Source organism: Homo sapiens, chromosome 7 (assembly GCF_000001405.40).
Source record: "Homo sapiens chromosome 7, GRCh38.p14 Primary Assembly".
Taxonomy (NCBI): domain Eukaryota; kingdom Metazoa; phylum Chordata; class Mammalia; order Primates; family Hominidae; genus Homo; species Homo sapiens.
This window is the reverse complement of record NC_000007.14, coordinates 105,103,705-105,128,173: the sequence shown is the minus strand read 5'-3', so window position 1 is coordinate 105,128,173 and position 24,469 is coordinate 105,103,705. Positions and strand designations below refer to the sequence as shown.

At 39.9% G+C, this 24,469-nt stretch overlaps 2 protein-coding genes across 41 annotated transcripts in view, besides 1 other annotated feature; one reads left to right on the top strand and one right to left on the bottom strand.

Moving 5' to 3' along the window:
• Positions 1 to 13,434, top strand: part of SRPK2 (SRSF protein kinase 2) — a 284,618-nt gene extending 271,184 nt beyond the window's left edge. For 11 of the 34 annotated variants that reach the window (XM_011516536.4, XM_011516538.3, XM_024446894.2 and 8 more), the window contains 4 exons: positions 1,112 to 1,181; positions 1,834 to 1,926; positions 2,300 to 2,392; positions 10,152 to 11,800. In XM_011516536.4, the coding sequence (XP_011514838.1) occupies positions 1,112 to 1,181; positions 1,834 to 1,926; positions 2,300 to 2,392; positions 10,152 to 10,336 (441 nt within the window). In that variant the 3' untranslated portion in view covers positions 10,337 to 11,800. Of the gene's footprint in view, positions 1 to 1,111; positions 1,182 to 1,833; positions 1,927 to 2,299; positions 2,393 to 10,151; positions 12,444 to 12,670 lie in introns of those variants that run through there. The other 23 variants (NM_001350740.2, NM_001350742.2, NM_182692.3 and 20 more) reach the window with 10 other exon arrangements.
• Positions 9,024 to 9,073: a silencer, noted in NCBI's record as "silent region_18514". NCBI's record gives its function as "represses an Ori minimal core promoter by ATAC-STARR-seq in GM12878 lymphoblastoid cells {active_cell/tissue: GM12878}" and the evidence as "EXISTENCE:reporter gene assay evidence [ECO:0000049][PMID:35858748]".
• KMT2E (lysine methyltransferase 2E (inactive)) overlaps positions 13,155 to 24,469 on the bottom strand; it is a 100,815-nt gene continuing 89,500 nt past the window's right edge. For 5 of the 7 annotated variants that reach the window (XM_011516400.3, NM_182931.3, XM_005250493.2 and 2 more), the window contains 10 exons: positions 22,481 to 22,735; positions 22,171 to 22,315; positions 21,402 to 21,652; positions 20,952 to 21,008; positions 20,249 to 20,812; positions 18,946 to 19,232; positions 17,806 to 17,894; positions 17,572 to 17,697; positions 17,306 to 17,403; positions 13,155 to 16,349 (listed from right to left, as the gene is read on the bottom strand). In XM_011516400.3, the coding sequence (XP_011514702.1) occupies positions 14,841 to 16,349; positions 17,306 to 17,403; positions 17,572 to 17,697; positions 17,806 to 17,894; positions 18,946 to 19,232; positions 20,249 to 20,812; positions 20,952 to 21,008; positions 21,402 to 21,652; positions 22,171 to 22,315; positions 22,481 to 22,735 (3,381 nt within the window). In that variant the 3' untranslated portion in view covers positions 13,155 to 14,840. Of the gene's footprint in view, positions 16,350 to 17,305; positions 17,404 to 17,571; positions 17,698 to 17,805; positions 17,895 to 18,945; positions 19,233 to 19,515; positions 19,631 to 20,248; positions 20,813 to 20,951; positions 21,009 to 21,401; positions 21,653 to 22,170; positions 22,316 to 22,480; positions 22,736 to 24,469 lie in introns of those variants that run through there. The other 2 variants (NM_001410908.1, XM_047420613.1) reach the window with 2 other exon arrangements.

Genomic DNA, 24,469 nt, shown 5'->3' with positions numbered 1-24,469 from the left:
TTAAAAAAGGTGAAAAGATGTGGTCCTGGGCTGACTGCACTCACTCTTGGTTTGTTAAAGACAGTGCCAGGAGAGGTGGCCCCTCACCCAGGCAGGTGAGCCTTCCCTTAAAGGTGCCTTTCCAGCACTGTGTGGTCATTGAAAGAAAAAGAAGGTAGGTTGATGCAGTGAAGTTTCCCCAGTATTGGCTCCTTGGGGCGGGAATGGGGAGGGCAGTCACAGATCCACAGGCATCAGTGATTGGGCCTCTGAGCACCTTTTGGGACAGCAAGATCCGTTCAGAATAGAAGCAGCTATGAGAAAAACCAGAAATGGGATTTAGCTTATTCTTTTTTTCTCTTTTAAAACATTCTCTTTGATCAGCAGAGCAGTAGCAGTTGCCATTTTTGTATATTGTTACTAGCTTAAACTCATGTTTTTGAGGGTTTTTTTGTGAGCAAGGGAAATGTGTTCCCTACATGCTGGCATGCTGAGGGACAGCCAGTGGCCACCCAGGAAGCCAGTGCTCCGTGACATCCACAAAAGGGTCTGCAAGACCATCTGCTTCCTCTGGCCCTGGGGACAAAGAGGGTCTTTTTTGTTTCCAGGTTTTCCTTTGGTTGAATCAGAAATGAATGAAATGATGATGAAAATGGTTGATGAGATACTGAAAATAGTCCTTGGTTACTAAAACATGAAGGTCTTCGCCTAAAAGACGCAGCAGTGTCTGCTATACAGAGGCCAAGGCTATTATAGTGGTTGAGGCAGGTGCTGGAGTCAGACGGGCCTTGTTGAGTCCTGGGTTGAACTCTCGTTCTACCATTTATAGAGTGCATACCGCGCTCTGGCCAGGCCTGCATGCAGGTGCGGCTGACTCACTGACGTTTTGGTTTTGCTTCCTGCAAAATGAAGAGAATACATAGCTCTTATATCTTTCCTTAGAAATGTAAAAATACTTCTGAAACTTCTTTGAATGTGGAAGAAAGAAAAAAATTAGTATTGAGCACTTTCAGGAGGCTATTTTGTTTGATTCAGATCTTCATAAAGTGGCGGTCTCTTCTATAAGGAGAAAAAGCTGTTGACTTGGGGGCCAGTCTCTGAAGTGCTTAGCATGTCGTCTGTTGTATCCTAGGCATTTGAGCTGGCAACGGGAGATTATTTGTTTGAACCACATTCTGGGGAAGACTATTCCAGAGACGAAGGTGAGTATTGGTGCCTGCTGAATACCTCGGTCTAGGTCTTCTGCCAGCCCTGAACTTCTGTAGAGTACTGTATTTTTGTACTGAAATAGAGCCATGTGTTTGGTTTTCAAACACCAAATTCAGATGCTTTTCCTTTGAGTTTGATGCCCCCTCAGTCTCAGTGAATGGGCAGAGCCTGCCTAGCACAGGCAGCACTCCAGCGAGCCCTCAGGGGCCCTACACCAGCGGCTCTTCCTGGCCTTGCACAGGGCAGGAACCCAGCTGGCTGAGAGAAGACAGATGATACAGACCTGAAGCCTCTATGTGGTCCTTTTGACCATTGATGTGCTGCCCATTTCTCTGTCCTGTTTGGGAGCTGAGTTGAAAACCCAGGAATTCTGGCTTGAATGCCATCTGTAAACCTGACCATCTCCATGCTTATTTGCTTGCGATGCTGGGGTGGCCTGGGGTGAGCTGGCCTCAGTCACTGTTACTGCTCCAGGTGGTGCCTGAGGCCTGCCATTCCCACAAGCCTCTGCATGGATGTGCTGCAGACACTGTTGATTTGAATCTATTTCTGATTTTTTACTAATTTCAATTTTTCCCTCTTCTTTTATCCCATCCTTCCCTTTGCCCCTCCCATTCCCATATCCTTTTTTTCTCTCCTCCATAGACCACATAGCCCACATCATAGAGCTGCTAGGCAGTATTCCAAGGCACTTTGCTCTATCTGGAAAATATTCTCGGGAATTCTTCAATCGCAGAGGTAGTACCTCTTCTTTTTGAAAAGCGCCACGATGCAGACAGAAACTGAAGAGCAGCTGCTGATTTTAGCATTAATGGTGACAAAGGCATTTCTCCTAAATTCGAAACGCAACCCAGCAGAATTCCTATGCTGATAGAAAAATTGTCAGGGAAGACCACATTTAGCCCTGTGCTGCGGTCACCCTGTTCACCAGCCCCTCTCCTGTGCCCTCCAGCTCTGGATCCTGAATCCAGCAACGCGAGGAAGGCCTGTACTTTTGGTCATTCAAGTTGCGCTCTGTTTCTGTCTGCGCGGGCGGTGGTAGTGTCTGCATGCAGTGTACTGATTAAACTGTCGTGTGTTTCTGTTTTGCTGGCAATGTTTCCCAATGCAGATCACATAGCATTGATCATTGAACTGCTGGGGAAAGTCCCTCGAAAATACGCTATGTTGGGGAAATACTCCAAGGAGTTTTTCACCAGAAAAGGTAACGGTATTTATGCAACACTAATTTTCAGCATAGTCTTCTCCCAAAAGGAGAAATTGTGCATTCGTGATTGGGCAGTGGAGAAAGATCTGGAGTTTCACAACTGGGGAATTCTTCCGAAGAAAGCTCTCAAGAAATAAACCTGACCCATCTGATACCTGGAGTAAGAATTTTGTAAGAGAACAGCCTTCCTAACAGCATTTTTTCCTCCTCCGCTTCTCTCTTTTACTCCAAGTTACCAATCTGTATATTATTTATAAAAAGGAGTTTAGGTGATTGTTAAAAGCCAGCTAGACTTATCTTTCCATTTCATGGACTCTCTGTAGTAGAACAGAGGTGGCCTAGAGACTGGACTTAGGGAACGTCCAGGGACATTGCTTTTGGTCTGCCTGGGTTATTTCTGTAGTGGGTGTAGGCCTGTGAAATGCTGCGTACCTCACATTCTTAAAAATGACATCCTACATTCCCATTGTGTTATGCCACACTGTATTAAGGTGATTATTTTCATGTTGTAGTTCTTACTGATCTTCCAACTGTTTATTTGCCCAGTATAGTCCCCAGTTAGTAATTTATAAAAACACCCAAGAGCCCTAGGAGTATTTTTAAAAGAACTCCTTCTAAGTGCTATATTCTTTTTTTTTTTTTTTTTTTTGAGATGGAGTCTTGCTCTGTTGCCCAGGCTGGAGTGGAGTGGCGCAATCTTAGCTCACTGCAACCTGTGCCTCCCAGGTTCAAGCAATTCTCCTGCCGCAGCCTCCCATGTAGCTGGGATTACAGGCACACCACCACGCCCAGCTAATTTTTGTATTTTTAGTAGAGACAGGGTTTCACTGTGTTGGCCAGGCTGGTCTCAAACTCCTGACCTCAAGTGATCCACCCGCCTTAGCCTTCCAAAGTGCTGGGATTACAGGCATGAGCCACTGCGCCCAGCCTGCTGTACTTTTTTGTGATGAGTGTAGTTGGTCCTTCATATTTTTCAGGTTAGATTTTTTTTTTGGATGTGACAGCCCTTAATAAAGAACTTTTAAAGTTGATGTGAGTAGGACATGGACTTTTAGAAATTTCTGAAAGTCCCAGATGCTCTGTCTACCTTACTTAGCTAAATTTGGAGAACCACATTGATTTTTTTTTTTTTTTTTTTAGATGGAGTTTTGCTCTTGTTGTCCAGGCTGGAGTGCAGTGGCGCAATCTTGGCTCACTGCAACTTCCGCCTCCAGGCTTCAAGTGATTCTCCTGCCTCAACTTCACAAGAAGCCGGGATTACAGGCACCTGCCACCACGCCCGGCTAATTTTTGTATTTTTAGTAGAGAGAGGTTTTCACCATGTTGGCCAGGCTGGTCTCGAACTCCTGACCTAAGGTGATCCACCCACCTCGGCCTCCCAATTGCTGGGATTACAGGTGTGAGCCACTGCGCCTGGCTGTGCATTTATTTGTCTTTGTTAATCGTCTGTCTGTTGAGGGGATCGAGGACTCCATACTGTGCACAGCGGGAAGGAAGGAAAGAGGGACAGAAAGAGAGGCCTTGAATGATCAAGTGAAGTCACTGAGTTGTTGGAAGGCAGGGCCTGTCAGCGGCCTGCAGGCATGGAGCTGGTTGCAGGCATCTGCTCTTGGGCTGTCACTCCTGTGATGGTTCCTTTCAGTGAGAGCGGCCTGCGTGTGGCCATAAATGGCTGGAAGGCAGCTTCCACGTGGGCCTGTCAGCAACCTTGCTCCCTGAGACAGCTTGTGGATGTGTATCTCCAGGTTACTGCCATCATCACCACGTATACTTAGGACTTACGTGATCGAGTTCTTTTTGAGCAGCTTATTTGAAGGTAACCTGCAGAGTTAAAATGCATTTGGCATCCTTCCTAATGAGAGACCAAAAATATTTTCACTTGGTGTTCCTGTGGTACCTCGAGTTCTTTTTTCCTGTTTTTGGATATAAGAGACCGTTTGTGACTAGGTGAGAAATCCCCTGAAATGACTGGGAATTGGGACTTCAGTTCTTTCCTGATTATTATTTCTAATGGCAGTAGAGATCAGAAGGGATTTAGGGTTTTTACAGAAGTCACAGGATAACATTATGAGGAATGAGGGCCGGTCATGGAAATAGATTTCACCGTTGTCTCTTAGGATGAGGGGAATGGCTTGCTGCGTGAAACATGTGTTTTGGCATGTTCCCATAAGTAATATAGGGGAAATTCCATAATTTCCATAATTTTGGAAATAATGGAATCTTAAAAATATCCATTTAAATTTTTTTTCCTAAAATAGCTAAAATACTTTGTGCTAGAACTGATAACAAAATTTAAAACAGCTGTTGATATGCCGTATCACTTTTGAAAGCAGTTACTGATGGAGAGTGCCTTCCCAGGAGGTTTTCCCGCTCTTTCTCCTCTGGGTCAGAGGCAGATTTTCATCCTTGCCACGCAGCCAGAGAAGAGTGGGGTCTGTGTGTTAAGGTTGAACATCAAATGCAGCTCATTTGTCTCCTCTCCTTGCGTATAATTTAAGAAGTCATGATCATTACTAGTTTGAATCATTCCTTGGCCAGAAAGTTAAAAATTGAGCTGTATTTTTGGTCAGGGAATGTAATTACAGCTCTCACCCTCTTAAGGTTAATTTGCTGGACATGAGCCACCAAAAAGCATTAAGAAACTACTGTGTTGATAGGTGGTCCAATAGAAATCAGCACGTCCATGAATTTTTTCCCTGTCCTGTCTTCAAGAAGTGGGTGGTCCCCAGAAGCTTTCCAGCCCTCAGATCATGGTAGGAAAAACGGTGCAGCCAGGAGCAGACCTCACTGGGCTGGTCACCAGGAATTTTTCTGACCATTCAGCAGGCATATTTTAGTAAAAATTGCTGCGTGGATAATGGGATTATCAAATGAGACAGTTTACTTAAAAAAAAAAAACTGGTCTCTAGATGACAGCATCGAGTGTGTTGGGATAAAAGAGAGTGATTGTGTGCATGTGTGCGCGCGCGTGTGTGTATGTGTGTGTGTCAGACTACAGACCTTAAATACAATTGAAAATTTCAAAAGCAAGAAGCTTCTGTGCAGCAGCATAAAATCCACGTTTCCCTGAGTCAGGGACAACATCAAGAGAAATGTGAGAACTGAGGGCTAAAACCCAGGAGCTGAGTTTTAAAAAGAGATACTGTATTCTGTATTTTTAATATTTAGTGTCTGAGCTGAACTTGTCACAGTGTTTTAAAATTATCTCCTGAATACCTAAAAAGCAACAGATTCTTTTGATGCTGTAAAGAGCAAAGAAAGCTCTTTCGTGGGCATTTGACAGCTACACAGGCTGGGCGTTGTCACTGCCACTCCTCTTGTTTATCCCTCCATCAGATGATGGGCGTTTGGTTTTCCCCCACTTTTTGGCTATTATGAATGATGCTACTATGATCATTAATGTACAAGTTTGTGTGGGCAGATGTTTCCGTTTCTCTTGAATACACATGTGAAAGTTTAAGTATAAATTTTTAAATTTTGATGAAGTCCAATTTATATACATTTTACAATTTGTGCTTTTGATGTCACATCTAATAAATCATTGCCTACTTCAAGGTCATGAAGATTTACTTTTCTAGGAATTGTTTAGTTTTAGCTCTGAGGCATATGACCTATTTTGAGTTGATTTTTGTATGGGATGTGAGGTAGGGTTTATACACATTTTAAACTCCAATATTTACCTACATTTGGTTGTCTACTTGTGTAAGAATTCATTCAGATCTCTTCATTGTCTCTTGCTTTGTATTGGTATTTCTTGGTAGGTTTACTTTCTACGTGTACACAATTGATGCTCATCAGTTTTATATCATGGTTTGCTTTGTAATTACCAGTGTTCATGTAAATATAGTCCAGGATTTGCCTTTAGAGTCCTCCCACATGTAGTGTGGAACCTCATGGGCTTCTTTATTTAATTCTGGAATATGACAATTTCATGGATAAAATAATGTATTTTCCTTCACAAACCACTTTAAGATTCAAGAGAAGTATAATAGAACTTCCCTGTTTCCTTAGAAGGACTCTGCAAGTCCAGGACTGGCCAGTACAGTTGCTGTCACAAAGCCTTTACTCTGCAGGAGGAACCCTTCCTCAGAGCCTGCTTCCTGTTGGTTTTCCTTGGCTCTTTCAAGCTGTTTCTCAGAGCAAATTCAGAAGCCTAAGGGGCTCTTGGGGACCACACAATTGGCTGCCAGGCTCATGTTTGCTTGTGTGTGTGTGAGTTGATACTGAGATTGACAGCTGATAGTCACAGGAAGGGTGAAGTGATATTCCACATTCTTTAAGGAGGACAGGCTAGAAATGGAACTTTAAGAAACTAAAATTGTCACAGTTGTCTAGTTATTTGCAAAACTTGTTTCAGTGAAACACATCTTCATATATTTTCTTTTCTCTCTTTTTTTTTTTACGTCTTCATATATTTTCTTTTTTCCTTTTTTTGAGACAGAGTCTCACTCTGTTGCCTAGGCTGGAGTGTAGTGATGCTATCTTGGCTCATTGCAACCTCTGCCTCCTGGGTTCAAACGATTTTTGTGCCTCAGCCTCCCAAGTAGCTGGGATTACAGGTGTGCACCACCACGCCTGGCCAATTTTGTATTTATTAGAGATCGGGTTTCACCATGTTGGCCAGGTTGGTCTCGAACTCCTGACCTCAGGTGATCTTCCTGCCTTGGCCTCCCAGAGTGCTGGAATTACAGTCATGAGCCACCGTGCCCGGCCGATGACATTTCTTTAACTTGTTAGGGTGCTACTTTTATAGTAAGAGCAAATGGTGAAAATGTGTTTTTAAAATATGCTTTCCCCTCTTATTCTTAATTATCATTCTAAGTGATGGAGGTGGCTACATTTCTTGGGCATCATCTGCAGGGCTGGAGCTGGCTCATGGACTCGAGACCCTCACTCATTCAGTGAGCCCACTCTTGTTGTGTCTCCTAGCAATAGATACAGAGTTGGGGGCTTGGGCTTTGTGTTTAAGTAACCTTATCAACTATTTCCAGGGCAAGGTTACTTCTTATACTGAGCTTAAGGGTTTGCACACATAATCATTATAGCATCTGGGTGAGTTGATTTTCCTTTGCATTATATTATAAACTTTTTCCACAAAAAAAGTCCACACATTTTTTTTTTTTTTAGAGGCGGTTCAGTGTTTTGTTATATTGCAGTGCTGCTCTGTGCTCAGGACCATAGGTGTTTAGGACTCTCCTGCATATACTGTTGTTTATAGACTGCTTCTTTGCACAGTCTTTACCTTGTTAAAAGTAGTTAGATATTTTACTGCTCCTTGCGAATATTTTTACCAGTTTATAGTATGCCTAGTTATGGATGAATAGTTTCTCATGGCCTTTCACTATTATATTGTTTTGCTCACTGTTACTATGCAGCTGTTAAGCATTTATAGTGGTAAAACTTCTCTTTTCATGGAAGATTGTACTTAAAAGATGCCTTGTTGATGGATCTTAGTTTAACACCTGGCGCCTCAGAAATAGGTTCCTTTACTATTCTCAGCACACAGTGCTTCTCTGTAGTTACCTATATTTGCAAACCTGGAGAGTATTTTTTCTGAGATAGAATAGATTCATGTCATAAAAGTTCGCTCCCTTTCCCAGAGAACTTGGTTTAGTCACATGTGAGCTTTCTTAGTTTGCTTTAACTGTTGCTGTGGTGAGATCAACAGTCTAAATCAATATAGTCATATTACAGAAAATGTGGAAATTGAAATAACCTACTAACAAAAGCTGATGTTTTGATTCAGTTGATTTCCATCTTAATGAGCATTTTAATAATCTTGTGATTATCTGTAGGACATAGTTTGACTGTTCTTTTACTGCCTAATGTTGTACCATGATCTTCTCCCATGTTGTTAAGTAATATTAAATACTATTAAGTGAATCTACCTTGGTTTTCTTTTAACCACCATTTTACTATTACTGGCTCTTCGTAATTTTGCGAGTACATATAATTTTGTGCCAGCATATATTAGGCATGAATTTGGGGTGGTGCAACCAGGGTTTATCTCCTTGGGCTGGATTCCTAGAGCCGGAATTTCAGGCTTAGAGGGATAAACCTGCAGTCTCTGTTCAGACTTTGTTTTTATGGAGACTGTGTTTCCTTCAACAGGAGATCCTTTCCCGCCTCTAATATTACAGGTTCATTTCTTCATCAACACAGACCTGATGTCTAGTCTGGATGCGATGCTTTACTCTAGCTCCAGTCCTCATATTGGAAACAGAAGCTTATTTTACATCTCAGCCCCTTTAGCAAGCAGCCCTCTTAAAAGATTCTTTATACGGAACCCTGTGCACAGCATGATTGCAACTTTGTAGACATACTAGTGTGTAAGAACACTCTTCACAATAGACACAAAAGAAGAGCAGTTGTGGGTAGGATTGTAGGCTACTTCCCCTTTTGTTCTTATACTTTTCTGTAATGCTCTTTCCTTTTCATTGTGTTTTTAAACGGGAGGGCTTTTCCAAGTTGACTCGAATAAATGGGTGAAACAGAACAAGCCTCCTGAGAACACCTTTGTGAGCAGAGCACTGATTATCTATTGATGCATCTCATGAAAAAAATGTACCTTGTTTAAATTAAAGCAGTTGAAAGGGGAGAGAAGTCAGTCCTTGCATGAAGTGTGCCCTGCAGGTGCTTGAATGCCTCTCTCCCCCCACCGAGACCTGGCTGCTCTGAGGTGTGGGCACAGGGGGGTGTTTCCTCTGCAGAAGCTGCTCAGGATGCACTGAGGGGCACCTAAGGAGGTCTGTGGGCAGGGGTGGGATGTCCTATGAAAACTTCAAACAGGCAGAGAAAACGAGTTATTCACAGTGAAATTATCTGGAGCTTTTGACAGTTTATTGCCTTTTTGAAAAGGTTATGGGGAGACAGGGTTTCGCTTGCTCTGTCCCAGGATGGAGTGCAGTGGCATGACCTTGACTCACTGCAGCCTTGACCTCCTGGACTCAAGCAATGCTCCTGCCTCAGCCTCCTGAGTAGCTGGGATGTACCACCGTGCCCAGCTACTTTTTTTCTTTTTAAGTAGAGACAGGGTCTGGTCTATGTTACCCAGGCTGGTCTGAAACTCATGGGCTCAAGGGATCCTCCTGCCTCAGCCTCCCAAACGGCTAGGATTGCAGGAGTGAGCCACTGCCCTCAGCCCTTTATTGCAGTTTTGACTTAAAAATAACCTTTTTTTTCTCTTATGAAATGACCATTACAGCTCGTAGGCCATTTACTAGCTTGTTAGTCATTCTGTTATGTCAACCAAAGCTGCCTGTAACCGACACTTTTCATACTGCAGCTAGCACAGTTTGTGAAGTATAACTTCAAGGTTTACAAATTAATGTCCTAGGATCTTAGATCTTACAACAAATGCGTAGACATGAATGGTGTTTGATTTGGGTTGGCCTCAAGTTTGCAAATTTTACGGAAGATCCCAGGTTGAAATGAGAGTGGCTTGCTTCAACCTTTGGAAAAGAAAACACTCTGGGCAAACTGAGCCCACTCCACTTACTTAAAGAAGCTTAGAACTAATGTGAATGAACTATTAATTAACCTCTATTTAGATCCACCAGGCTTACTTGAAATATGCCTTGGTCATATGTACATGTAATGATTATTGCTTAGTGGGGAAAAGCTGGTGTTCTTTGTTGTTGCTGTACAAGTGTTGAGCAGGTGGTTGTCCGCTTCACTGAAAAGAACCTGACTGGACCAACAATGGGGAATGCAGATTTGGAGCTTTCTTGACATTGGCCTGTTTTTTCCCCTGTAGGAGAACTGCGACACATCACCAAGCTGAAGCCCTGGAGCCTCTTTGATGTACTTGTGGAAAAGTATGGCTGGCCCCATGAAGATGCTGCACAGTTTACAGATTTCCTGATCCCGATGTTAGAAATGGTTCCAGAAAAACGAGCCTCAGCTGGCGAATGCCTTCGGCATCCTTGGTTGAATTCTTAGCAAATTCTACCAATATTGCATTCTGAGCTAGCAAATGTTCCCAGTACATTGGACCTAAACGGTGACTCTCATTCTTTAACAGGATTACAAGTGAGCTGGCTTCATCCTCAGACCTTTATTTTGCTTTGAGGTACTGTTGTTTGACATTTTGCTTTTTGTGCACTGTGATCCTGGGGAAGGGTAGTCTTTTGTCTTCAGCTAAGTAGTTTACTGACCATTTTCTTCTGGAAACAATAACATGTCTCTAAGCATTGTTTCTTGTGTTGTGTGACATTCAAATGTCATTTTTTTGAATGAAAAATACTTTCCCCTTTGTGTTTTGGCAGGTTTTGTAACTATTTATGAAGAAATATTTTAGCTGAGTACTATATAATTTACAATCTTAAGAAATTATCAAGTTGGAACCAAGAAATAGCAAGGAAATGTACAATTTTATCTTCTGGCAAAGGGACATCATTCCTGTATTATAGTGTATGTAAATGCACCCTGTAAATGTTACTTTCCATTAAATATGGGAGGGGGACTCAAATTTCAGAAAAGCTACCAAGTCTTGAGTGCTTTGTAGCCTATGTTGCATGTAGCGGACTTTAACTGCTCCAAGGAGTTGTGCAAACTTTTCATTCCATAACAGTCTTTTCACATTGGATTTTAAACAAAGTGGCTCTGGGTTATAAGATGTCATTCTCTATATGGCACTTTAAAGGAAGAAAAGATATGTTTCTCATTCTAAAATATGCATTATAATTTAGCAGTCCCATTTGTGATTTTGCATATTTTTAAAAGTACTTTTAAAGAAGAGCAATTTCCCTTTAAAAATGTGATGGCTCAGTACCATGTCATGTTGCCTCCTCTGGGCGCTGTAAGTTAAGCTCTACATAGATTAAATTGGAGAAACGTGTTAATTGTGTGGAATGAAAAAATACATATATTTTTGGAAAAGCATGATCATGCTTGTCTAGAACACAAGGTATGGTATATACAATTTGCAGTGCAGTGGGCAGAATACTTCTCACAGCTCAAAGATAACAGTGATCACATTCATTCCATAGGTAGCTTTACGTGTGGCTACAACAAATTTTACTAGCTTTTTCATTGTCTTTCCATGAAACGAAGTTGAGAAAATGATTTTCCCTTTGCAGGTTGCACACAGTTTTGTTTATGCATTTCCTTAAAATTAATTGTAGACTCCAGGATACAAACCATAGTAGGCAATACAATTTTAGAATGTAATATATAGAGGTATATTTAGCCTCTTTTAGAAGTCAGTGGATTGAATGTCTTTTTATTTTAAATTTTACATTCATTAAGGTGCCTCGTTTTTGACTTTGTCCATTAACATTTATCCATATGCCTTTGCAATAACTAGATTGTGAAAAGCTAACAAGTGTTGTAACAATAATCCATTGTTTGAGGTGCTTGCAGTTGTCTTAAAAATTAAAGTGTTTTGGTTTTTTTTTTTCCAGACATTGCCTTGGTCATTGCCCTATAAATGATAGAATCAATGAACATTTGCTATCAGAGTAGTGTCACTAAAACTAAATACCAGCATTCCTGTTGCAGCAGATGTAGTTGTAGAACATGCATTGAGGCGTATTATAAGGAAATCATTTATTGTTTTTTAAGGGCAGAAGGGATTTAGGAGAAAAGCTACAGTATAGATTGATTCTCTAGAATATCAATGATCCCTTTTCATCCATGGTTCATCAAAAACATACTAACTGCATTTGTTTGATCATTGCAAATTTAAAACAAAACAGCATTTGCTGTTAGGAAACAAGACACATAATCCTCTTAGGAATTACCATTATATCACATTACCACTGTGAGGTAGAATGGATCATTCATTAATTTCTTTATGAAATTTGCATGCTAAGTTTTTCTAATGAGGCTGTAGGTTTCCATGTAAATTCTGTGATAGATAGTGGCTGTAGACTGGTGATGCTATCCGTGATTTCTATGAGAAACATCCTTACAAGAACCATAGGGCATAATTTATATCTTCCCTAAGTGTAAAAGGATTTTTATCAGGGTGATAGTATACTTGAATGAAATTTGTCTAATGCAGTTTTTGCTTATGTTGGAAAATAAACTAGATTATGAATTTTTACAGGTGTGTCCCTTATGATAAAACAGCCTAACTAGTTTATAATACAGAAACGGTTGTTCTAGAAGGAATATACATTTGTATTAGGCATAATATGGCTTTATCAGATTCTTGGCGGCTTGTTGATAAAGAATGCACAAAAACTAAATGAGAACCACTGGTTATGCTAAACATTATAACTAGCTCTCTGACTTCAATTGAATGTCCTATCTATCTTTTCCTTTCTGTAGTCCATGTGAAATCTTCATGGAAAATGACAAGCAGTGGATCACATATGTGTTTATAGCAGATACAGGAGCTGGCTATCTAGAAGTTGGCAGACAGAACTGCCCAAAGGCAGAGAAAAGGTGGATATAAGATCTTCCGAGTCATAAACTTCTTAGGTGAAAACCGATTTACTAACTTGCTTCTTCCCATACCTGGACCATACATAACTAGTTACCACGATAAAGTAAGGAAACTTTCCATTGGAGTAGAGAACTTCTTCAGTTTCTATCCATAGTTCAGGTTATTTCCTAAATTCTCCTTTTTTCTCCCCCTTTTAAATAACTTGAATGAAATTTTGGTAGAAGACTGTATTTTAGAGTATATACTTCATCAAGGAATCAAAATGTATAAGATTCTGCAGTTCACACAAAAGCTTCTGTATGCATATTTCTGTAGTAGGCACATTTCAAGCCAGTGAAGAATTTAAAATGCTTAGAAGGACAAACCTTTTAAGAAGAATATTTTTATTTCACATGCTAGTTACCTTTATTCTGTTTGAAACTATCAGGATAGATGATGTAAAACCATTTCTTCTCAGACAAATGTTTCTTTACTAAATACCATAAATAGAATTTTGTTGGACAAATTGAGGATGGCAAACTTGGCCTATATGTTCTTCTAAAATTTGAAGCTGTGATTAGGATTGAGCCCTAAGTGAGCTGCGTTAATGTACCATCATTAGCTAATTTTCAAAAGGAAATAAATAGAGGTTCAAAGTGTAAAAACATGACTGAATGAGGTCACGCAGTCATTTTAGTGTTTACTTTCTCTGATGCACAGAATTTGTATCCTGTGCCAAATTATGTCAGGTAATTGGATGATGAAAAATATGTTGATTGATAAAACAGTATCATTATTATTGGATGTACTTACTGAATCCTCAGAGGTAGAAGACAAAGGCTGGGAAATTTTTAATTTTTTGAAGATTAATAATTAATAACTAACTAGCATTTTATATTTTAGCAATAAAAACGTTCACTTAAGAGGCCATTTTCATTTCACTGAGAGATCTAGGAATAATGCCTTTTTTCTTTAGTTTTTACACCCAAGACAAATTTTCCTGTTTTGGGCAAACTACCCATATTTTCAAACAGTTGTTGTACCTTGTATTCAAGAACTACTGTAATGCATTAGTGGTCTGGCTTCATTTTGTATGATGCCAGATCCTTAATTTACCCAGCACAATCATTTCAGTAGTTTCCTATGGCTCCTGCAAAAATGCAAACAGAAACCACCACAGGAACAGCCCCTTGCTGCCTCCTGTTGCTGAGGTAGTAGTCGCTAAAGAAAATTGAAGGCTCCTTACAATCTATATTTGAAAACTAGAACTTCTGTAGAAACACACAGATCCCGATCTTAGAAGTTGTACAGGACAATCTGGTAAAACTGACATAATTGTGATTTATTAACATGAATTAAAATGCCCAACCAGTGCTTCAGTGTGACAGTATATTTAAAATAAAAAAGAAATTAAAGGTCATATACTGTACTACTTTCACAAAGATCACACAGTTTTGCAAAAGACTTGTCATATGTACAATGCTATATATCAAATGAGAAAAGCTGTAAGCAATTATATACGCAAAAGAAATGCAGTATTTACAGTTTGTCAGGAGACATTAGAAATCATCTATACATTAAATTACATTTTGCTTGCAAATAACTGGTAAAACAAAATGAGCCATGTCCACACCAAAATATAAAAATCTGTATTGCATTTTTATACCTAAGATGCATTCACAGAACTGCTGCTGACAGGAAAGAAAAAAAAAATCCTCATAGTGCCATTACTTAGCTGAGTACTTAATGTGTATGTATAAAATAATAGAACATTCACTAAATGAATTTAACTAAAAAAAAAAAAAAGATCATACAGCATCAAATCAGCATCAGATCTGCCAGAAAAAAACAGCTGGAATGTTCACTTACAAAATAAAGATACCTAATACTGGCTTAACAGCACATTTTTTAAAGGAATTTTAAAAAGCAAAAATGAGAAAAATACAACGAAAGAGCACTGGTGTTTTTTATACAAAGGTTCATGTACAAGCTTTAAAAAGTACCTTAACAGGTACATATGAAATATACAGTTTATCTTACAGAACATTTAAAAAAATGTTTTTGGAGTCCATTTTAATGCCACCCTGACCCATGGTAATTGTTTTGAAATGTTGGTGGCACCTGTGCTCTGTGAATTGGAATCTGTCCAGGCACTGGAGATGCCTGCTGAGGTCCTTGAACCCCATGTGGCAGGGCCACAGAGCCAGGATGAGGACAGAACCCTGAAGCAGTAGGTGTTGGAATACTGTTTGGTCCTTGGGGCTGGAGATGAGGACCTGTGACAGGTAATGGACAATGTGGCCCTGTTCCAGAAGGCTGGTGCTGGGGTCCCGGTCCCAAAGTGGTATGATGTGTAGCTTGTGAGGGATACGGTGGTACAGTTGGATGAGCACTCGAAGGAAAAAGTGGAGGTCCTTGATGAGGTGGGTGGTGTAAGGCTTGAGCTGATGTGGTATGATGCCCAGAAGCCAAAACACTGGAAGGTGGCGGCGGAGGGGGTGGTGGGGGTGCTGAATTTACAACATGCTGGTGTTGTGCTTGTAGACCTTGGAGTCCTGTGGATGGATGGGGTGGTGGATGGTGATGAGGGGCAGGACCAGGAGGGGGTGGGGGTGGGGGTAAGTGGTGTCCAGCAGTTTGAGAATGAATATGCGACCCAGGGGTGACCGCATGAACAGGCCCTACTACATGTGCTACAGAGTGTTGCTGATGGGAATTCGGCTGTTGTACAAGGTGCGGTCCTGGAGCAGGTGGTGGTGGAGGAGGAGGGGGGACTACGGCAGCAGCAGTTTGATGGTGAATGGTAGGGTTCTGAGAGGGCAAAAAATGCCCTGGAGTCACGTGGTGTCCTGGAACTGTTTGCTGGCTTGTGGTGCCAGGAAGTGCTTGATTTGGTCCTGATGTAAACACAGTTTGTTGAGAAAGACTACCTTTGAGCTGATTATAATTCTGAAAGTTTGCAGAGGGCTGCTGGTTTTGATAGTAAGACGAAGAAGGAGGTGGAGGAGGTGGAGGGGGTGGTGCCGTGCTGTTCAGACTTTGTTGGTTAAACTGACTGTATGTTGCTGAAGATTGTCCTGAGGGTGTCTGTGTAAATAATGTTCCAGAAGTTGCCTGCTGAGTATTGGCTGGAAGGTTCTGTGCTGCTGGATAAAAGTTTCTTTGAGGCTCTCGCTGAGGTGTTCCAACTTGAGGTGACTGTGAATGATGAGGCCTGTAGGGAGATCCTAACTGCTGTGAAGGAGGCTTTGGTGAAAGATAACCATGCTGTACAGGTGTGTGAGGCGTGGATGACTTTGGAGGATTTTCTAGGTGAGGTGATGGAGGACAGTGCAACTTTGTTGGCACAGAAGGCAGCTTTTGTGAAAGTTGCTCAGATGAATTACGAACGTGTGTCTGAGGAGGATGATTCTTTGAAAGTGCTTGGTTGTTATTTGATAGCTGTTTTTGTTGGAGCTCTGTTTTTAGGTGAACACCATTTTCAGCTTCGGATGCACTAACTGTGGAGTCCCATTGGGGATCTGGTTTTGTGAATATTTTCCCGTGTGCTTGAGCAGGAATTACAGATCCAGGTGAACCAGGCTATGAAGAGAAAACAAATTATATACATTCAAGGAACATTTTGTGTACCTTGAGGTTTATTCTTGTTGGTATTTAATACTACCTAAATATTAATTTTAATGGGGGGCAGGAAATAACATCCTGGATACGTCAATTATGGAGGCTTGGGATGTTAAAAGGCCAATATTTTTCAGTTGTTCCAAAAAGTTATGAGCGTGAGCTTAAAGTGAATTCTCTGGGTTAATTTTTATTGAAGACAAGTTGAGGAAATAATTTTCTTTCACTTTACTCTGCCTTTTTACCCCTAAGCAATGAAACCTGTTTTTGAGCCTCACTCTGAAGAACTCCAATAGCAAGTTTCAATTTTATAATTGAAATTTCTATACCCAACCTAAGGATAAATTGATTTGGGTAAATGAACTTGCTCCCTCAAACCATTTTGATTTTTAATACCTTTTCATTTTCCTTGTACACTGTTCAGATATAAATAAACCAAGTATAAGACTGTTTAAATGTCAATCATCAAAAAAAGATAAATCTCACATTCCTTGTCTTTAGTTTCCAATGATTTACATGCCATACTAGATTATTACATCTTCATGAACCAGGATGAAGATGTCATTCCTTTTAAATGATAAAATGACCTTTTGTTTTTAGATAATTGGATGGTTAAGAATTTCATGACAAGGCTATGAATTTCCTGGACACCACTAGAATAGAGGTGGAACATTTGAAGAAAATGTAAGCTGTTGAAGTGTGCTTAGAAAACTTGAATGTTTGGTCAGAGTTATCCATCACATGTTCAGTAAGAAGAACAAACAGTAGTAAACACAATTGAGTATTTCTGACAGGAAAAGTGTCCAGAAGTCACAAGTTGATACTTGATACAGCAGAAAAACACTGCATATTATAACCATCAGCTTTTCTGCACTCAACCTAAAGTCCTTTGGAACCCATCGAAAGGTCAATGTTATTACCTTGCTCATTTTTGGAGGACTTTTACAAGTATTTTGAGAAGTATCTGGGGATGGACATTCATTCGTAGTTGTGGGTTCTGGATTTTCAGGATCAGGGTCTATAAAGCAGAAGAAACCTATAGTAAGTATAAAATTACACAATAAACACTGTTTTAACACCACAAAGCAACATACATTCTACTATCCAAACCAACTTTTTATAAAGGCTCTCTTGTCTGATTTTAAAATTTGTTAAGAATAACATTATCGGTCATCTGCTTACTGACCTTCCATAAGTTCACTGAAAGAAGGGACTGGGCCCTTAGCTTGCAACTGGGGTATGTGATTTGAATGAGATGAAGGTGAAGACTGAACATGACTCGGTGAACATGAGACACATGGTGATTCTCCCCCTAGAGATGAAGCAGAGCAGACCCAAAGAGAACATTAGAGCTGCAAAGAACGAGGATGCAGAGTGATTAACTGATTCCACTTTCTGGTGAAGGAACAAGCTCACTTACCACTATCTTTATCTTTTCGGTGATCACTGAGAAGTAAAGCTCTCTGATAACTCCTTTCTCTGACTTGTTCCACTGAAGTTGAGGCAGTCCTTTCAAAGAAAAATCACATTATCCTCTATTGAAAGAAACTACTGCTAGTTACATTGTTGCTTCATAGTCAACATGTACTGTCAGACCAAGGCTTTTGATCTACTGGGAAAATACTTTGGTGTTAACCTTTGAAAATAGTTAATCTTGGCAGGGCACAGTGGCTCACGCCTGTAATCCCAGCACTTTGGGAGGCCAAGGTGGGCAGATTACAAGGTCAGGAGTCTGAGACCAGCCTGGCCAGCATGGTGAAACCCCGTCTCTACTAAAAATACAAAAAAAAATTAGCCAGGCATGGTGGCGGGCGCTACTCGGGAAGCTGAGGCAGGAGAATCGCTTGAACTTGGGAAGTGGAGCTTGCAGTGAGCCGAGATTGCGCCACTGCACTCCAGACTGGGCGACAGAGCAAGACTCCAGCTCAAAAAAAAAAAAAAAAAAGTTAATCTTATTTTGCTGACTGCTCCCAGAACTGAGATTATTATCCTTATTTGAAGGACTCAATTCCTTTGTCTCCAGCAATTTATTGGTGAAAAGAAGGCAAGGAGTTGAAGATAATATATTGACATTGAGAATGTCACTTCAGGTTACCAAAGGTACCAAAACATGCCCCTAACAAACTGCTATCAGGATTGCATGCTTTCAGGTGGAAAGGGGACCAAGGAGCAAAGTGAGTGTGGCTGCCTGCCATTTGCCAAGATCCATCCTATATGCAGCTGCTCCTATTCCTTCTGAAGAAGCACTAACCCTGGTTGTTCTTTCAAGGTAACTGGTAGGGGTTATAAAGGAAGTCTGCAGAATTGTTGAATCTGATAAAAATTCTTTGGAGAGGATATGTGTGTGTAAAGTATGAATAAATTACCAAGGAATAAATACAATCGACATTTAAGAACACAGGCCATACACAGCTGGCTTAAAATCCTATTAGCAGAGAGAATCTTTTAAAATTGTGACCACGAAGCACTATCAGCTTAGCCTTGGGAGAACAACAAATAGGAAGAATACTTGAACAAAAGCTTGTTTTTTCCAGAGTAGCATACTTCACAATGGGCTTACCATTGAACTTCTGGTTCATTCTTCTCACTAGCAGTAGCATCCTTAACAGGGCAGTTATTGCTAGTTTCTTCAGAAGTGGCATTATAAACTGTAGCTGGTGTTGGTAAAGGTAGGCTAGCAGTGTGGTCCACCTGCTCCCCATTGTCATTACTGCTGGCACAGCCATCACCATTGTTGCTCAAGCTTCCACTTGCATGGGGTGATACACTAATGAGTGGAAAGTTCTCTGTCTTAGAGCCACTTTTCCTAGCTTCACGTTGTCTCTTACGGTATTCTAATAGAGAAACCTTAAGCAAGAAAGATGAGAAAAAGCAAATCTTTTATTCTTGTTTTTTATGTCAGAACCAATGCATTCTTTTTTGTCTAAAGAGAATTACTATATTTACATTAGGAAAATTATTTTAATTGATTCTGAACAAATAATTAACAATTACCAAATGCCTACTATATTCCAGGCATTGTACTTAGATGATTTACATACATTATCTCATTTATCCTCACAACAACCCTATGAAATAGGTATATTATCATCCCCATTTTATAGATGAGGAAATTGAGTAACTCACTCACTCAAGGTCACACAGCTGGTGAGTGTTGGAGCCGGGATTCGAACCTAGGTCTTACTTGAAAGCCCGTGCTCTTTCCACTATACTACATTGCTTCCCACAAAGTTGCCAACTGGACTCTGTTATAAAAATTAAAAGCACACATCACGAAAATTCTTGGACTTGCAAAGCAATAAGCCTACTAACAAAATAAGTGCTATAGTTTCTTTTGAAATAAGGCATTCTAATTATCTCAGTATGTCTGCCAACCAAATAATGGGAAATCAGGGAACTAACTTAATATTTAATACATTAACTATTAGTAAAATAAAAACACTCTTACATCCATGGCCTAAATACTATAGATATTATAGATGAGGAAAGAGGCATTTCCTCTATACAAGGGTGCTTGCTCAATGTACAATAAAGGTAATAACACAAATATTATTCAAGTCTGTGTTTTTGGTTGGGGAGTTCCTAGTTTTAAAAAATACTCATTTGGTGAAATAAATCATCTTGAGATTTTTCTGAAACCATGCTGCTTACAAGGATTTCCCATATTACTAGAATTTTTTTACTTTTCTGTAAACATTTTCTAATTAAGCCAGCATTTACAAAAGGTTTAAAAATATTAAAAATGTAACTTTAATAACTAAATTAAGAATGCCTTACATAATACATCTAACAATTCCCCTCAGTAGTATTATGAAAAAAAAAAAAAAACTATTAAAAGGACTATAAATTGTTAAATTTGTAACCTTTTTCTTTTGTGGTGGATTCTGGGGTGTGCAATTCCCGTCGATCAAATTGTCATTAACAGTCCGTCCGAAACCAGATACAAGCCCATCTTCGGAAGTACAAAACACAGTTGTTTCCATAAACATGCCTCTAGTATCATCCTGCATCAGGCACTTTGACTCACTTATTCGGAAGCCTCCTCCAACCTCCAACTGATGCGAGGGTGTCAGGTCCCTCAAGTTGGAGTTCACTGAGAAGTTAACTCCTGTTCTGTCAGGGCTCTTTACCCAGGAAGAATACATTGTGCCCCGTCCAGAGTGAGTCGAGTCCAGTTGGCTGTTGGGCTCAGCCCTGTCATGTGCAGGCGTTTCCAGGGTTTTATGTAGGGCAGTTGGCTCAACTGCATCGAGTCCTAGCTGAAGGTCTGACACAGGTTCCTTTTCTCCAGGACACTGCCTGTTGACTTCAGTCCTACTCCTAGGGCTCGTATAACCAATAGTCTTTATTTCTTGCAGACCCAGTTCAGTTAAATTAGAATTTCTAAAAGGCCCCAATGTTAACATGGTTGAAGATCTGTCATATCCCTGTTTACAAATTAAAAAAAAAAATTACACAAATAATCACATCTTGGGACTGTTTATTTCAAAATTTACCAGTAATTTAAGGAAAACAATGTAATAGGAAAAAAACTACCAATTCACCCTTTTTAAGTTAACTTCTTACCTCTTGACTATAAGTGCGTCTCTTTATTTCTGGAGAACTTTCTGGGGAAGAAATATTCTGTATATAAAGAAAGAATTAGAATTGAAAATTTAAAAATACGTAAGTATATCCATAATAATTATAGAAATGAAAACAAAATGAAAAATATACAGACTTTAGTTTTAGATCTTGTTTCCTGTTTATTTCCATTCCCCAAATAAGACTGCTTTAAGATCAATTAGATACACACATTTAGTCTACTGTGTATATCAACAAGATGAAAGTTATGCTCATTTTAGTAAAAATAAAAACATCTAAATTCATATAAATGAATTTTTCTGATTTTTAGTTTCTTACAACCTTTTTTTTGTATTCTCAGCACACTAGTTGTTAAAGGAGGGGAAAGAGCTCTTAAAAGAAATTCCATCCCCCCAAGTGTTGAATTTTTTTTTCTCCATTAAAATTTCTCACCTCAAAGTGCATGGTATTTCCTGGTGTACCAGGAGTTACTGGGGTAACTGGTGAATATATGGGTTTATAACCATTTCTACAAGTTTCATCATCTGATTTTATCCGTGGAGGCGTGGCAAAAGATGGGTCCATAGGAGTAATATCGGTGTGAGTTGGTGTAGCATACGGGGAAGGAGTAGGTGTGGAGGTTTCTGAGTAAACCGAATCTAGCAACTGATAAAATCTTCGTTTTTTTAGTGGTGTAGTTAAATCTGTTGGTGAAATAATAATCTGTAAGAAATTACACTGTTGCTATTTGTTAAAATCTGTTTGTGTCACATTCTGGGAAAGATAAAATATAAACAATGGCAGTTATGACTTTTACCCCAAAACTGAATTTCACGGTTTTAAAAAAATGGTACTAACATGAAGCAGTGCCCCCTTTCCCTCCCCAATTAGCAAGCATTACCTTGCCTGGAGGGATTATAGGCCTAGGGGTCTCAAAGTATCTTACAAGTACCGATGTTACTTTAACTGATTTGTAAGAGTCCTTGTCTGTCTGAAAAGCAGCCAGTCCAGAAGCCTTTAAATATTCATAAACCCCAGCATACGTGGTATTGTGAACTGGTATCTTCAGCCAAAAAATACAGAGGACAGAAAAGAGAAAATCTATACACCAATGTGCTTCTCTTCTAAAGTGCATACCAGTAACTAGAAATATGCCTGTTATAAAGCTGTATGTATGCCCTGCCACATTTCTCAAACCAAAACTCTGAAAAAAAAATTCTACCTGGAAGGGAACAGCTGTCATTTAATAGTAGTGGACTTTTATTTTCACCATTGACTGCAGGACTTCTGGATCTTTCTTGACAGGGTGAATTAAATCTATGTAAAATTGCTGAATTTTCTTCTTCCAGAGCTTGTTTCAACCATCGCTGAATAAAACAGAATACATGAATGAACAGGAATCACTTTGTAGCTGTTTATATAGCCTGTAAATACAGAGCCGATTCCAAAAGCATTTCACTACCATGGATGGTAGTAAGGAATGAGTTGGCATTTGGCTCATTCTACATTTTTACTTCCAAAGAAAAGTTTACCTTCTTGCATGAACCAGAAATGTTTTCAGTAGGTTCTTTTCTTCTCCTTTTTTCTGAAAGGAATGGTGAAGTAAATCTAATATAATGCTTAGGAGTGGAGTATACATGGGGGCTGTAAGTGAGACCTGGTAAAGAATTGAGTTGTGTAGCTAACACTTCAGGATCTGTAGTTATGCGTAGAGGCCTTTCTGAAAGGCCATCTGAAGGTTTTCCTGTCTTCTCATTCTTCTCACTTAACCATTCATTAACCAAGTGCTAGAGAAAAGAAAAAAATTGGATCATTATATATGTAATTCCAAATTCTCCCTTGAATATTCTAATACCAGATTTGAAATTGGTGTATTATCTAAAATGATAAATTGGGTAATTTAAATCATTCATATGTGATCAAAATATCAGTATGTCCTTTTACATTTCTTAGTTATCTACTGTTATTCTGAAACTTTTTACCCAATTATTTTGTAGAACAAAACATATGGTTGCTTTTTAAATATTTATATTACATGAAATTTGTATTACTTTTTTTTTTGAGACAAGATATCTCTGTCATCAGGCTGGAGTGCAGTGGTGCAGTCTCGGCTTACTGAAGCCTCCGCCCCCTGGGCTCAGGTGTGATCCCTCCACTTCAGCCTCCCGAGTAGCTGGGACAAGGCGCTCACCACCACGCCTGGCTAATTTTTAAAGTATTTTGCAGAGACAAGGTCCGCTATATTGCCCAGGCTGGTCTCAACCCCTGGGCTCAAGCAGTCCTCCCGCCTCAGCCTTGCAAAGTGCTGAGTTTACAGGTGTGAGCCACCGTGCCCAGCCAAGCTTTTTAATATAGTTACAACTAGAGACACGTCAGTACCATTTTATTAAACACACTAAATTTAGGTTTACTACCGCTTCTATTATAGGTATAAGATGTTCCATCTGTTAGAAAAATCTGATTTTAGGCAGTGTTTTCCTACAATAGCTGCCCATCAGAATCTCCTGGAGATGAGGACAGTGCACAGTACTTTTTTTGAGAAAGGGTGAGTTGCCCAGCCTGGAGTGCAGTGGCGTGATCATGGCTCACTGTAGCCTCGACCTCCTGGGCTCAAGTCATCCTACCACCTTAGCCTCCCAACTAGCTGGGACTACAGGTGTGCACCACCATGCCCAGCTAATTTTTTTGTTTTTAATTTTCTGTAGAGACAGGGTCTCGTTATGCTGCCCAGGCTGGTTTTGAACTCCTGGGCTCAAGTGATCCTCCCACCTTAACCTCCCCAAATGTTGGGATTGCAGGCATAAGCCACCACACCTGGCTCACGATACATATATATTTAAAAGTCACCATTGACAATCCCTGATATAAGGGGTTTGGAATATCTCTTAAGGTTCTTGTGCTTTGAAATTTTTCATAGTCATTAATTCTGCTGATTCTCTGATCTACAACATACATAATACAGTCTCTATTGGCTATATGAATATACCTGACCCTGAAGTATAAATTACTACTTTAAAAAAAACGAGTAACCATTCATATTGTTACCTAGTTAGCAAATGATATTTTAATTTCCAAGCGTAAATGTAACTTATAGAAAATATGGCCGGGTGTGGTGGCTCACGCCTGTAATCACAGCACTTTGGGAGGCTGAGGCAGGTGGATCACAAGGTCAGGAGATGGAGACCATCCTGGCCAACATGGTGAAACCTGTTTCTACTAAAATACAAAAAAATTAGCTGGTTTTGGTAGTGCGCGCTTGTAGTCCAGCTACTCAGGAGGCTGAGGCAGGAGAAGCACTTGAACCCGGGAGGCGGAGCTTGCAGTGAGCCGAGATCACACCACTGCACTCCAGCGTGGGCAACAGAGCGAAACTCCATCTCAAAAAAAAAAAAAAAAAAGAAAAAGAAAATGTACAGAACTTAGTATATATAAATGTGCATATGTATATATATATACACACACACACACACACAGAAACACACACATTTTAAAAATCTACCCATCCTTTTTTCCAAAGGTAA